This window comes from Homo sapiens, chromosome 2, assembly GCF_000001405.40.
Source record: "Homo sapiens chromosome 2, GRCh38.p14 Primary Assembly".
Lineage (NCBI taxonomy): Eukaryota > Metazoa > Chordata > Mammalia > Primates > Hominidae > Homo > Homo sapiens.
In genome coordinates this window covers 171329876-171345888 of record NC_000002.12, presented here as the reverse complement: position 1 = coordinate 171345888, position 16013 = coordinate 171329876, and the positions used below count along the sequence as shown (strand labels likewise).

The following is a 16013-nucleotide window of genomic DNA, read 5'->3' as shown; positions in this document are numbered from 1 at the left end:
GAAATGAAAGATACATTTGGCAATTTTTGAGTTAACATAATTATATTTTATAATTTCCTAAAAAACATCTCCAGTGTGTCATATCTCAGTTATTTAGCAAATGTAATGAGTCTTTTAAATGGAATAACAAAAGCAGCTGCTATTTTTACTTTAAAATATCCTGTAATTAACTATCTACCTATGGAAAGTTATCTATGTCAAGCAAAAGAATGAGTCTCACTATACTTTACTTTGTGAATACCTTACCATTGAGAAAATGTTCTATGTGAAAAAAATATATAGAGAGAGTAGCTAAAAGTTTTATGCTTATAAATTTAGGTTATTTGTTTATAAGTTGGCTTTGCTTGTTTAAAATTTTATGCAGTGCTCTTAGAAACATACTTTTAATTTCATAGTTTTTAAGAGTTTTCTTTTATTAGACAATGAATTTTCTCACTGATGTGTGGAAATTTCCAACTTTGAGAGCTCAGGTATTTGCGTAATTGATGTGCAAAAATAACTTTAAATTGCTTTTTATTACATGGAAACTTAGAATAAATTTTCATAATTCATATTAATCATATTATATATGTCATACATAAATGGTTTAATTCAATTTCTTAGTTGTGATGTTGAGTGTGATTCAGAATGAATTCTGAATATTTAAGGATGGTTAGCGTGCATATTCCTTCTTTCCCTCAGCAATATTGAATTTAATAAGTGAATAATTGAGAAGTTGCTTCATTGGGCTGTAGTTAAACAGATCGCTACATCCCTCTTACTGCCACTGGCATAAAGCAGTTAACTCTGAATCACCAACCTAGGAAAGAAAAAAAATTTTCCTCCAAGAAAAATTTGTCATTAATACACCTGTTTAGAAAGTCAGTTAAACAAGATGAAGACAGGGCAGATTTCTCCACGCTATATTATTTTATCATTCCTGACCTGCCTTACCAGCAGCTTGATACTGAATTTTTTACTCATGGTCAGAGCAGTAATTCCTCCAATTCCCCTGTTAACACAGATACTCTTGCAGTTCAGGAAATTAAATCATACACTGAAGGTGTTTGTTGTCTCATAATCATAATTATGATGATTGACCAAGCTGTGGGGTCTCAGAAGCTCTCACACATTACTGGGAACTATGGAGTTGCCAGCATTGATTGGAGAAGCTGCTGAAAGCCAAATTCCAGACACTGGTGCTGCTTCTCTGTTTTGTTTCTGTCCCACAAACCCATATATTCTCATAGAGCATTTAATGTTCCTATTGCTCATCATTTCATCATATAACTGCATGGTTTATATTTCTTATAATTTAAAGTATGCAGTTTAATTAATTATGTATTTCTGATCTGTCTTAATGAAGGGTAACTCCAATCAGCATTATTTTTACAATGTAGTTACACTGATTGTAAGCCACACTGAGGTTTTAATTTCAACTTGATACTTCATAATTGAGAAGAAAGTATGAATCAGAAAAGCAGAGATGATTTTCAGGGGGTTCATATTGACTTTGTGTTCGGGAGGCAGTGTAGTGTAATGGGTGAGAGCGTGGGCTTTAGAGTTTAGCAGACTTAGGCTAGGTCTTGACTCTGTTCTTTCTGGCTGGGTGACCTTGGGGAAATTCTTTATTTCCTCTGACATTGAATTTCTTTCTCTGCAAATTGGAATAATAAAATCTATCTGAGAGATACTGCTAGGATTAAATGGGGGAAAAATCCAAGTAAAGCATTTGACATAGTGCGTAGCCCATAATAAACACGTAATATGTGTTATTCTTGTCATTTTTAATGCTACTATTATTGGTATAATTTATGTAATTATCTGATTTCTTTTCTCCTAATTCCTGAGTGGGAAATAGTTGGAAAAGGCTTGAAAATAGGTATATTAGCAAACCCTGACTATTGCCTTCTAATATTACATAGGCTAGAGTTGAATTTAGATGCTTGACATGTTTGGTTTCTGAACCAGATTGCAGTCACGTCACTACAGATTCATTTTCTCTTTAAATTGTAAAAATTAAAACAGTAGTACAGACTCATGTTTAAAACGGCAATCTGATCCAAGATTTTGTAGTCTGTAGAACTGATAATGTTTAATGTTCTCCATAAATTCATGGCGCTTAATAGGAAAGTACACAGAATTTTTAGAGCTTAAACAGACTTTAGAGATACTACTCTAATTCAAACCTTTCATCAAATGAGGAAATTCTGTAGGCAATTTGAATGAAGAATTCAGCTAAGATTCTTTAATCTTTGTGTAAGAAGTAGATACAGCTTTGCAAAAGAAAGAGCTACCTAATAATGATTAAATTGTTATCATTGCTTCAAATTTTCAACTTATTGTTATGAATGACTATAAAATAAATTTTAGAGCTGCCATCAATGTATATACTATTCTGTGTATTTTCTCTTAATATTATTTTCCTTTATTATTTTATTTTTTATATTTATTTATTTATTTATTTATTGAGATGGAGTTTCACTCCTGTTGCCCAGGCTGGAGTGCAATGGCACGATCGCAGCTCACCGCAACCTCCGCCTCCCGGGTTCAAGCAATTCTCCTGCCTCAGCCTCCTGAGTAGCTGGGATTACAGGCATGTACCACCACACCCGGCTAATTTTGTAGTTTTAGTAGAGATGGGGTTTCTCCATGTTGGTCAGGCCGGTCTCGAGCTCCTGACCTCAGGTGATCTGCCCTCCCTGGCCTCCCAAAGTGCCGGTATTGTAGGCATGAGCCATCATGCCCCGCTTATTATCTTTTATTTTTAAATTGCTACATAAGGTTACCCTGTTTGAACTGCATGGTTTGCTTGCTCATTCCCATGTTGTTGGGCATTTGAGTTTTCCCCACTTTTTCCTAATATAAATAGAACTGCTATACACACATTTTTTTTTTAAGTAGAGACAGGGTCTTGCTTTGTTGTCCAGGCTCATCTTGAATTCCTAGCCTCAAGTGGTCCTCCTGCCTGGGCCTTCCAATGTTGGGATTACAGGCATGAGCCACCTCGCCTGGCCGCTATGCACATCTTTTATTAGGTTACTCCCCTGTACTTCCCCCACCCCACTTAATTCCTAGAGGAATATTCCCACAAATTAATCAAGATATAGTAGTATTACAGTACATTCTAGTTACTGGTAATTGGGCTCAAACACACTTCACAAGTAGCTTGATATTGTAAACTCAAATACTAGAGATTTCACTAAATATAAGTCTTCTTAGATGGCTGCTTTTTGTTAGGCAGAAAATCTTTTACCTGCATGGAATGAGTTACAAAGAGAGTTTTTTTTTTTTAAGGTAAAGGAAGAAGAGAAAGCTTGAGAAGACCCTGGAGAAATTTGACTCTTTTATAATTTCTCCTGAGTCTGATTTTCAGAGTGTCATTTTGTTTTCTTACATAGTATATCAGGCACACTCCAATTTTTAAAAGTGGAGATACACCAAAATTATTGAAAAAGAAGGAAAATAGAGATAGAAATATTTAAAAGACAAATATATAGTTTCAGATCAACCATAAATAGGTTTCTTTCCATTAGTGCAGAGGTGAGTATGTTTTGGACTTAATATCACATAATTCTTTTGTTACAAAGATCCACTTTCATTTCTCAGACCTTAAATACAGATGGGAGTTTCAGTCTTTATAGCATTCCTGCTGCCAGATACAATTCAGCCTTGATGGGAAGGAAGTCTTGTGGCCAGATGGGTGGAGATCCACGGTACAAGGCCATAAAGATAAAATTGGAAAGAAGAAAATTATAAGGGCCTCAGGACAGGGTTCTGTAACAAAGATGAACCTGATTACAGGCAACTGCTTGTTCTGAGAGTAGGGGCTTCTTTAAAATTGTGAAGGAAATGCATCTCTTATTTTTATTTTTAGTTTAATTTATTTTTGGAATGTATAGTAAATTCACATGGATCAAAATTCAAATGAAAATTCTCCTTCCAACTGTGGTCCCCAGCCACTCCTTTCCTCTCCCTAGAGGCAACCAGTATTACTGATTATGTGATTATCCTTCTAGAAGTATTTTGTACCTTCTACAAGTGTGTGTGTGTGTGTGTGTGTGTGTGTGTGTGTACATGAATATTTCTATGTAACCATACATGCGTATTTTCTTCTTATTTTAATGAGTGGTTACAGAATATAGACACTGTTATATACCTTGCTTTTTCACCTAACACCAAATCTTGGAAATTATTCTGTATTCCTAGAAAGAAAGCTTTTGCACTTTTAAAATGGCATGCGTCTACAGTAGGTTAAAGTAATTCCTAATGCGTGGATTAGGCCTATTACATAATAGCACTCAAGAAATTGTTACTGCCTGTAGCACTGCCCAAGAACACGGAAAAAAAAAAAGGGAAAAAAAAGGAACGTGCCAGGCGCAGTAGCTCACGCCTGTAATCCCAGCACTTTGGGAGGTGGAGGCAGGCAGATCACTTGAGGTCAGGAGTTTGAGACCAGCTTGGCCCACATGGTGAAACCCTGTCTCTACTAAAAATATAAAATAAATAAATAAATAAAAGACATGTTTGTTGAATAAATGAGGGAGAGAGTGGGTTACTTTATTAATTTTTTTTTTTTTTTGAGACGGAGTCTTGCTCTATGGCCCAGGCTGGAGTGCAATGGCGTGATCTCGGCTCACTGCAACCTCCGCCTCCCAGGTTCAAGTGATTCTCCTGTCTCAGCCTCCTGAGTAGCTGGGATTACAGGCGCCTGCCACCACACCTGGCTAATTTTTGTATTTTTAGTAGAGATGGGGTTTCACCATGTTGGTCAGGCTGGTCTTGAACTCCTGACCTCGTGATCCGCCCGCCTCGGCCTCCCAAAGTGCTGGGATTACAGGCATGAGCCATCGTGCCCGGCCCTTACTTTATTAATTTAAGGAGCAAATAGGAAGAGGCAGAAAGCGAAGAATTACCTGAAGCTCTGAGACTATTGACCTAACCCTGACCACAGGATGACATCATAAAATGCATATTTGTTTTAAGAGCATCAGAAATTTTCTTTAAGGCTTCATCTTGGGAGATGTCAGTAGGAAGAGATGCCTTGGAGGTTGGGGGAAGAATGGAGTTACGGGATGGCCTCCAGATTCCAAAAGTCAGGAGACATGGCCATGGATTCACTGTGATGGGGCTCTAGGACTTGGAACAAGTGGATTTAGGTCCTTTCTTCAAATGCAAAAAGGGAGGTTGGAGTAAATTGTTCCAATGGACCCTTTTAGCTCTTAAATTATGTTGTTTATAATTTTGAAATTTCCTGTCTGATCACCAATTTGCATTTATGCTGAAATTGTATTTGTAAATACATTAAAAATAAGGTGTCCTTTCTTTTATTTGTTTATTTATTAATTTTTGAGACAGGGTCTCACTCTGTCTCACTGCTCCAGGCTCTTTTTTTTTTTTTTTTTTTTTTTGAGACAACTCACTCTGTTGCCCAGGCTGGAGTGCAATGGCGTGTTCTCTGCTCACTGCAAATTTCTCCTCCCGGGTTCAAGCATTTCTCCTGCCTCAGCCTCCTGAGGAGCCGCGATTACAGGTGTCTGCCACCACACCCAGCTAATTTTTATTTTTTTAGTAGAGATGGAGTTTCAACATGTTGGCCAGGCTGGTCTTGAACTCCTTACCTCAAGTGTCCATCTGCCTCATCCTCCCAAAGTGCTGGGATTACAGGTATGAGCCACCGTGCCCAGCCCTCATTCTTTTTTTTTTTTTTTGAGACAGAGTTTCACTCTTGTTGCCCAGGCTGGAGCACAATGGTGCAATCTCACCTCACTGCAACCTCCACCTCCCAGGTTCAAGCAATTCTCCTGCCTCAGCCTCCTGAGTAGCTGGAATTACAGGCACCTGCCACCACCTCCGGCTAACTTTTTGTATTTTTAGTAGAGATGGGGTTTCACTATGTTGGCCAGGCTGGTCTCGAACTCCTGACCTCGTGATCCACCCGCTTCAGCCTCCCAAAGTGCTGGGATTACAGGCATGAGCCACCGCGCCTGGACCTTTCTTTAAGATAATAAAAAACCACACAGCTTATTGGTAACAATGTGATTGTTAAGATAAAATTAGAAAGTTGTTTGCAGTGATTATATTTCTCACAAAAATTGGCTAAACTATTAAGATAAAAGCAGATTCACAGGGGTAGGACTAAATATCCCACATTTTGACACATTTTGAGAGAATTAAAGCTCTGTAGTTTCAACCTTTTATCAGATAGATTAAAATATTATAATATTAAAGTTATTCATTTGTAAATATAATTGTTATAAATGATAATGTATATGTTTAACAATTATCAAGACAGTAGCTAATAGTAAATATAATTCGTAGTAAAATAAATCTTTCTTTTTCCTCTTTATTTTAGTTAAGTATGAGAGAGAAGCTAGTAAATACTGGGACACATTTTACAAGATTCATAAGAATAAGTTTTTCAAGGATCGTAATTGGCTGTTGAGGGAATTTCCTGAAATTCTTCCAGTTGATCAAAAACCTGAAGAGAAGGCGAGAGAATCATCATGGGATCATGTAAAAACTAGTGCTACAAATCGTTTCTCAAGAATGCACTGTCCTACTGTGCCTGATGAAAAAAATCATTATGAGAAAAGTTCTGGTTCTTCAGAAGGTCAAAGCAAAACAGAATCTGATTTTTCCAACCTAGACTCTGAAAAACACAAAAAAGGACCTATGGAGACTGGATTGTTTCCTGGTAGCAATGCCACTTTCAGGATACTAGAGGTATTGTGCTCAAGGGACAAAAATGGGAGGTGACAAATAATTTGAAAATGTACATTCTGTATTATTTTATTAAAAATCCAGATTTTTTTTGGTGGAAAACTATCAAATGTAAATAAGCATTCAGTGTACTTCTGTGCATAAATAATATCTAAGGGACTCATGTCTTTAATCAGTCAAGTTTTAAGTTTGTGGTTTAAATCTGGTTTTGCTGGTTTTTAAAAAAAAAAAAATTGTCTGTTTTCATTTTAATCTGAGGGCAGTTTTAAGTACCAATGAAGCTTTGGCCTTAATTTTTACTCTCTTTGTTATTACCCCTTTTTAGATGAAATAGAAATAAGTGAGATATATAATTTGCTATAATCTGGTGTAGACCTTGGTTTTCTATTTTTAAAACTAAACCCTGTCTTTCTTATTTTAAAGGCAATGTATATTGATTATAGAAAATTTGCTAACAAGGAGATAATTTATCACCAATCCTACAAACAAAGGATTTCACCACTGTTAACATTTTAGTGACCTTTTTCTTCTTTTTTTTTTTTTTTTGAGACAGACTTTTGTTCTTGTTGCCCGGGCTAGAGTATAGTGGCGCCATCTCAGCTCACTGCAGCTTCTGCCTCCCGGGTTCAAGCAATTCTCCTGCCTCAGTCTCCTGAGTAGCTGGGATTACAGGCGCCTGCCACCACACCCAGCTAATTTTTTTGTATTTTTAGTAGAGACAGGGTTTCGCCACGTTGGCCAGGCTGGTTTTGAACTCCTGGCCTCAGGTGATCCGCCCGCCTCAGCCTCCTAAAGTGCTGGGATTACAGGCATGAGCCACTGTGCCTGGCTGACCTTTTTCTTCTTTTATTACTGTACATGTATTCTAAGTTTTGTTTGTTTCTATTTAACATGGCATCATAAGCAGTTTTCACTATCTTTAAAAATTCTCTGTAAATATTTTGATGGCTACAAAATATTTTACTATGTGGAGTACTATAATTTTACTTATCTATTTTCACACTACTGGGCATTTTAATTGTTTTCAGATTTTCTGAAGCAAACATTTTGGGTATAGCCTTTACCTGCATTTTCTTTTATTGTTTTAGGTTAGATTTTCTAGTTCATAATTTATGAAGATTTTTAATACTTTTAAAACATATTGCCCACTTGCTTTCTAAGAAGTTGTACTAATACCATTCCATGACAGTGTATGTCTGTTTCATCACACCCTCATTGATTGAAGTATTATTTTAATGTTTTCCACTTTGTTAGACAAAAATTGTACCTTGTTTTAATATGCGTTTCTTTGATGACTAAGTAGGTCACATACTTCAAATGTTTAGAATCATTTGTACTTCTTTTTTGTTCTGTCCATTTATTTTCTCTGCTTATCTGTTTTTTTTTTTTTCCTAATGAGCCTTGCCCTTTATCATATTCATTGCAGTTTTCTTCACAGCGTATTGGTTATTTTTAAATTTGGTTTATTTTGGGTTTTGGTGTGTAAAAAATTTAAATGTTTCCATAGTCAGATTTCTTAGTGTTTATTCCTGTGATTTATTTCATTGCTTTTGAGTTTAGAAAATTATCCTGTGCCCAGAGATCCAGTAAGTCTAATTGTTTTTTTCTTTAATAGGAGATCTGACATTGGTGACAAAAATTTAACCTTGCTTTTTTTGATATTTGCTTGTTCTTTTGATTTTAGGTTGGTTGTGGAGCTGGAAATAGTGTGTTTCCAATTTTGAACACTTTGGAGTGAGTTTTAAGAGTTTTCTTTCTACAGAATTTTACATATTTATGGAATGTTGAGAAATTCTGGGAAAATATTGTCACGTGTATGCCAGTAGTGTTTCTAATTCTTATATGAACAATGGCTCAAGCAAATTTCAAAAGAAATGTCTTAATCTCAATGTCTACTTTCATGTGAACTGGGAATTACTCTGAAAATAGTGTTTCGTAGCCATGGGTTGTCCATCATTGTTTTGAAGTAATTTTTTAAGCTTATGTGTATATGGATGAGAGAATAAGAAAAGAGGAAGCAGACTGGGCATGGTGGCTCATGCCTTTAATCACAGCACTTTGGGTGGCTGAGGCGGGTGGATCGCTTGAGGTCAGGAGTTCAAGACCAGCCTGACCAACATGGTGAAACACCACCTCTACTAAAAATACAAAATTAGCCAGGCATGGTGGCGCATGCCTGTAATCCCAGCTACTTGGGAAGCTGAGGCAGGAGAATCTGCTTGAACCAGGAGGCAGAGTTTGCAGTGACCCGACTGCGCCATTGCACTCCAGTCTAGGCAACAAGTGCAAAACTCAGTCTCAAAAAAAAAAAAAAAAAAAAAAAGAGGAAGTGATTTCATCCTTCCACTGAGCTGTGAACTGCTAAACTTCAGAGATTATTTACTCTCCCTAGATACTTAGATGTCATTTTACACATAGACAATTGAATGTAAAGCTTACAACTTAAGCCTCATTTTGTCATCCCTTCTGAAGCAACACCCTATGTAAGATGTTTGCATGCCAAATCATTGTGTCTAGGCTTAAAATTGTTTGGAGGTAGCAGCAACTAATCCTAAGACTCAAAAAAGCCGATCCTGGCTAACACGGTGAAACCTCGTCTCTACTAAAAATACAAAAAATTAGCCAGGCGTGGTGGCGGGCGCCTGTAGTCCCAGCTACTCGGGAGGCTGAGGCAGGAGAATGGCGTGAACCCGGGAGGCCGAGCTTGCAGTGAGCCGAGATCTCGCTACTGCATTCCAGCCTGGGCGACAGAGTGAGACTCCGTCTAAAAAAAAAAAAAAAAAAAAAAAAGCAGTCGGGCGTGGTGGCTCATGCCTGTAATCCCAGCACTTTGGGAGGCCAAGGCGGGCAAATCACGAGATCAGGAGTTCGAGACCAGCCTGGCCAACATAGTGAAACCCCATCTCTACTAAAAATACAAAAAATTAGCTGGGTGTGGTGGCGGGCGCCTGTAATCCCAGCTACTCGGGAGGCCGAGACAGGAGAATTGCTTGAACCCAGGAGGTGGAGGTTGCAGTGAGCTGAGATGCGCCACTGCACTCCAGCCCAGGCAACAGTGCGAAACTTTGTCTCAAAAAAAAAAAAAGCAGAGTTTGACTACAGGGACAGAGATTTGCTCCAGGCTCACCCTTCCTGTTCACCATTTCACCTGTGTCTTTTACTTTTTCCATGATGAACACACAAAACTCTTCAAACACCTTTTATCTATGGCCAATCTGCCAAGCTCTATTCTTTTTTAAGTTTACACATTTTTTTTAAGTTCACATTATTTTTCCATTATAAAATCAGCATTAGCACGTTGCAGAACATTTCCATTAGAGGAAAAGGAGAGGGAGGGAATCACTCATCATCCTAACATAGCCACTGACAAAATTTTTGTTTTAATTCCTTTCAGTCTTTATGCATATTTTTAAATGATGTGATCTTTTAAACTTTTTATTATTAAAATGTAAAAGCATCTGGGGCCTGGTGCGGTGGCTCACACCTGTAATCCCAGCACTTTGGGAGGACGAGGCAGGCAGATCACTTGAGGTCAGGAGTTTGAGACCAGCCTGGCCAACATGGTGAAACCCTGTCTCTACTAAAAATACAAAAATTAGCTGAGTGTGGTGGTGCACAATTGTAATCCTAGCTACTCGGGAGGCTGAGGCAGGAGAATTGCTTGAACCCAGGAGGTGGAGGTTGCAGTGAGCTGAGATCGCACTACTGCACTCCAGCCTGGGTGACAGAGCAAGAGACTCTGTCTCAAAAAAAATTTTTTTAATTAAAAAACATTCAGAAAAGCAAAGAGTACAGTGAATTTCCATATGCCTAACACCTCAATTCAACAATTACCAATATAATGCCAACATCATGATACTTTATCCTTGATTATTCAGGATATATCTCCCAAAACTCAGTATACTCTCTAATATTATTATAAACCTAACATAATGAATAGTGAGTAGTTTCCTACTATCATTTAATAACCAGTTAATGTGGCCAGGCCTGGGTGATGCTGGTAAATTTACAGTTCTGAATGTCCTTTCTGTTTGTGTCTTTGTTAGTTTTGTTTTCCTTTTTCTAGTTTCTGGGCTGAAATTTCAAACTTGCTTATGTCACATAGCCATATTCCTTTACCCCAGTGGTCTCTGAGCTTATAATACACGTAAATACACTACATTGGCAGTTGATTGTGTGTTACTTTATGACTGATCTCAAGGTATTATTTAGCATGTCATTTATTTATGCCTTGTCTCTCCGACCACTTTTTATATTCCTTAAGGTAGAGGGCATATTTTATCCTAATCTGATTTCCCAGGTTGCCTAACAGTACAGCTTAGTTGGAGCTCAATACATATTGCCTGATTAATATCTCTCATTCCCCCACTTGCTAGTTGTATTTTTCACCTCTGCTTCTCCCTTCAGCTTATAATTGCAAGCTCTTGGTTCCTCACTCCCTAACTCTTTCTTCTTAGCTCTGTCTTTCTTTGCCTCATACCTATGTTTTAGAAATTACTGTAGCTCAATAACCTCAGATAATTAATTCATCTTTTAAAGGCAACCAGTGATTAGCCTTCCAAAGGAATTATTAGACTTTTTTTTTCTGCTTAAGAAATTATGTTTTACTACTTTTAGAGAGTGTAGGATTAATGTTTTACATTTTCAGAATATTTTACCATAATTAGACCTCTGAAATGGAGAGGTCATATCATTCTCCAAGGATCATTTAATTCATAGACCCCTGCCAAGAGAGTGCTTGGTGGTGTGGTGGTAGTAGTGATATTTACACCTGTTTGCTGGGAGAAGAGCCAAGGTAGTCAGCTGATTTTACAGAAAGGTTCTGGAAAGTCACTGGGTGGTCACAAGACATCACCTTGGGCTGCTGATACAGTGGGAATTCCATCTTAGAGGTCATGCTGCCACCGTGGCAGGACACATGGCATATGGCACATGCTTTCCTTTAGCTCGTAGACTGTTCTATATCTTATGGGTATGTGGTAACTACTGCCCAAAGGTAGACTGCAGACCTTTTATAATGAGCTAGACATACCAGTGTCCAGAAAAGCATTTTGAACTATATGGAAGTTTTTTGGTTTTTGTTTTGTTTTGTTTTGTTTTGTTTTGTTTTGTTTTAGAGGACTATGTTAGTTTTTAAGCTCCTGGAAGGCAAAAACAATCTCCTTTAATAATAATAGTGATGATAATAATAGCAACAACAATTATAATAATGACTAACATTTATTGAGTGCTTACTCTGAATCAGGCACCTTTCTGGAAACTTTAGCTATAAGAATCCATTCACTTCAAACAACCATCTTAGATGCCATGTTTATCTCTTTTTTTAAAGATGAGGGAATTGAATTAAAGAAGAGATTAAGCAACTAGCCCAAGGTCATGCAACTATGTAGTAAAGCTGAGACTCAAACCTTAGGCAGTCTTGTTCCAAAGCCCCTGCCCTTAACCATTAGCCACATAGTGCTGAGTGTTTACTGAGAACATTTCAAATACATTTCAAACACCCAGCAAATTACAAGTCACAATTATATGGATTTAATCAGAAAAAAACAGGGGAACATGCTGAAGTAAAGTGCTATTTTTATGTTTGACAGATGAGAAAAGACCAAGCAGTATGAGTTTTAACTTTGATTCAGTACTGGTTAGCTTTTCATAACAAAATCCTATTAATCATACTTTAACTTATTTGGATAGATCTTAAATTGAATGCAAATCCCTAGTGCCATAGAATGAGTGAATTATATGTTATCATAGTTATTCATCAATGAGTTGCCTTTAAGAATATAATCTGAGGCCAGGTGCGGTGGCTCACTCCTGTAATCCCAGCACTTTGGGAGTCCAAGGTGGGTGGATCACCTGAGGTCAGGAGTTCAAGACCAGCCTTACCAACATGGTGAAACCCTGTCTCTACTAAAAATACAAAATTAGCCGGCCGTGGTAGCACATGCCTGTAATCCCAGCTACTTGGGAGGCTGAGGCAGGAGAATTGCTTGAACCCAGGAGGCGGAGACTGCAGTGAGCCGAGATTGCACCATTGCACTCCAGCCTGGGCAACAAGAGCGAAACTCTGGGGTCTCAAAAAAAAAAAAGAAAAGAAAAAAAAAGAGTATAACCTGCACCTGGGTCAGATTTTGCTAAATGCATATTTATTTAGCTAAATAAATTCCATATTTATTTAGAGGTTCACCTTGCTTGGAATGCTTCTTGAGTCAGATTAGAAGTCTTAATGATATGCTTCAAGGCCCACCTTTTTATCCTGCCATATACCAGTTTGGGCTCTCAGGATTAGTGCTACTTCTCATCCCTGGCATGTGACTCCCACTTCTAAACTCTTCAACCATTTCCCCTTCTCCTCACTTAACAATACATCCTCCTCCTTCAGAAATTTTAAGACTTATACCTCAGGGTGCTGACCCTCTTGACACCCCTGTAGAAGTTGTATAAAACCAATTATGTCCCCAACTAGACTATAAAACCCATGAGAGCCAGGACCATCCTTACTGTTTAATGACATGCTGACCTCTTTCTGTAGTTCAGACATGGTACTAAGCAACATGATGCAAGGATTATTTGATACCAGCATACACAGTATAATCAAGAGGAGTATTAGTCTACAAATTTCAGAGTATATGGCTGCCTTAAGTAACCATGGTCCAGCCATCATTACTGAATTTCAGATAAAGGCCAAACAGAACATATTTAAGTTAAGAAGAGTCCAATTAAAAATCATACCACCTATTGGCCAGGCACAGTGGCATACATCTGTATGTAGTTCCAGCTACTCGGGAGATTGAGGCGGGAGAATCACTTGAGCCCCAGAGGTCGAGGCTGTAGTGACCCGTGATTGTGCCACTATACTCCAGCCTGGGTGACAGAGCGAGACCCTGTCTCAAAAAAAAAGCTGAGGGGCGGGGGTGGAAATAACTTATTAACAAGTCAGACCTACAGTTTCCTTTCTTCTCTAGTTTGAGTATTTCTAGACTCCAGATATAAATATTTCTTCTGGCCGAGCACAGTGGCTCACACCTATAATCCTGACAGTTTGAGAGGCTGAGGCAGGAGGATCATTTGAGAACAATAGTTCAAGACCAGCCTGGGCAACATAGTGAGACCCCATCTCTACAAAAAAATCTAAAATTAGCTGGGCATGGTGAGGCACATCTGTAGTCCTAGCTACTCAGAAGGCTGAGGAAGCAAGATCGCTAGAGTCCAGGAGCTCAAGGTTATAGTGAGCTATGGTCACGTTACTACACTCCAACCTGGGCAACAGCGCAAGACCCTGTCTCCAAAAAAATAAATAAATATTTCTTCCATCTTCATAGGAACTCTCCGGAGTCCTTTCTGTATTGTTGTGATTTTGCTTCTGGAGCTGTGGAGCTCGTAAAGGTATGCTACTCCTGGGAATCATACCAACTGATGCCTAAGGTATTACCCCAGAACAATAAAAGTTGTTTTGATTTTAAGATCACTAGAGGCAGGGCGTGGTGGCTCACACCTGTAATCCCAGCACTTTGGGAGGCCAAGGTGGGTGGATCACCTGGGGTCAGGAGTTTGAGACCAGCCTGGCCAACATGGTGAAACCCTGTCTCTACTAAAAATAAAAAAATTAGCTGGCTGTGGTAGCACGTGCCTGTAGTTCCAGCTATTTGGGAGGCTGAGGCACGAGAATCGCTTGTACCTGGGAGGTGGAGGTTGCGGTGTGCCAAGATCGTGCCACAGCACTCCAGCCTGGGTGACAGAGCAGACTGTCTCAAAAAAAAAAAAAGATGAAAGGCCAACAGCGCCAGGCATGGTGGCTCACGCCTGTAATCCCAGCACTTTGGGAGGCCGAGGCAGGCGGATCACAAGGTCAGGAGATCGAGACCATCTTGGCCAACATGGTGAAACCCCGTCTCTACTAAAAATACAAAAATTAGCTGGGCATGGTGGTGGGTGCCTGTAATCCCAGCTACTTGGGAGGCTGAGGCAGGAGAATGGCTTGAACCCAGGAGGCGGAGGTTGCAGTGAGCCAAGATTGCGCCACTGCACTCCATGCTGGTGACAGAGCAAGACTGTGTCTCAAAAAGAAAGAAAGAAAGGCCAACAACACACAAGAAATGACCAGAAAGGGTACTGACCTACAAAATTTAGAATGTATGCCTGCCCATGAATAATCGTAGTCCAAACAGAACCTCTTTAAGTTCAGAAACAGCAACCCAGAGCAGGCCTCTAACAACACTGTCTACTAACTCAGAAAGCCTACCCTCCTCTACTTTTAAAGTTAAAGAGGGATTGCGAAGGATATTTGTTATCAAGGCCAAGAGCTAGCCTTAATTTTTTTAGGGCAGCTTGAAATAAGCTAACAATACTGAATTGGAAAAAAGTGTTCAGACTGACAGAGGAAAGGCTTTTGGGAGAAAAGGTTAAAAATTTGACCTTTTTATTTAAAAAAAAAAAAATCCCGGAAGTCTACTAAGTCCTCTTTTTGCTTTCTGTTCCTTTATCATGACAGTCACACTCGTCCTACAGAGCAACCCAGTGTTTTGCCTTTGTTCATGATGTATGTGATGATGGCTTACCTTACCCTTTTCCAGATGGGATCCTGGATGTCATTCTCCTTGTCTTTGTGCTCTCTTCTATTCATCCTGACAGGTAAATGAAGACGAAAGGGCAAAGTGGATGTGTAAAGCTCCTTTATCAGTAGTGGTTTTCAGAACTATCAAAGCAAAAATGACAATTTTTGAATTTATTATTTAGTGAGCAACATTATGTATAATACACAGCCTTTTAAAGGCAGTTTTTCCTTTCTTCGTACTTTTAGACAGAAACTGGTCAGACTACTTCATTAATGAGCTTTCTGTCACTGTCAGAATGAAGTGAGCATATTCTGGCAAGACACATACCTATTAAAAGTGACAGTGCTTCAAGGAAATTACAAATTCAGAACAACCTAATAGACTCCCAAGAGGGAAATTGTACTTGGTGATCAGAAACAAACATCTTTAGTGTAGTGTCTTCCTGAATGTTCATGAAGAGGTGGGCTTGGGATCTGTTTGGCTTCACACAGGCCTGTTGATGGGCTTTAAAAATTTTGTTCTAAAGAAGCACACTAGGGAATCAGGAGTTATTAAGATTTGCCAGATTATCCTTGGACCTTTATGATCTAAGGTTAGCCTGATGCCATCATTTAAATATTTATGACTTAGTTTCATACAGTGTTTTAAAACTATAAACATAGCTTTTCTCCAGAGAGAAAACATAAAGAGATATTACCAGCAATTAGAATGATTACCTTTCTTAAATCTTGCCATCTTCTATGTATTAAAGGGTACATA

The 16013-nt window shown here is 38.6% G+C and overlaps 1 protein-coding gene across 11 annotated transcripts in view, besides 1 other annotated feature; it reads left to right on the top strand.

Annotated features, from left to right (window-relative positions):
• Positions 1–16013, top strand: part of METTL8 (methyltransferase 8, tRNA N3-cytidine) — a 119027-nt gene that overhangs the window by 88884 nt on the left and 14130 nt on the right. For 10 of the 11 annotated variants that reach the window (NM_001321161.2, NM_001321158.2, NM_024770.5 and 7 more), the window contains 4 exons: positions 6335–6705; positions 8387–8436; positions 14022–14085; positions 15191–15330. In NM_001321161.2, coding sequence (NP_001308090.1) covers positions 6335–6705; positions 8387–8436; positions 14022–14085; positions 15191–15330 — 625 coding nt within the window. The remainder of the gene's footprint in view (positions 1–6334; positions 6706–8386; positions 8437–14021; positions 14086–15190; positions 15331–16013) is intronic. The other variant, NR_135568.2, reaches the window with a different exon arrangement.
• Positions 8991–9050: a silencer, noted in NCBI's record as "silent region_12100". NCBI's record gives its function as "represses an Ori minimal core promoter by ATAC-STARR-seq in GM12878 lymphoblastoid cells {active_cell/tissue: GM12878}" and the evidence as "EXISTENCE:reporter gene assay evidence [ECO:0000049][PMID:35858748]".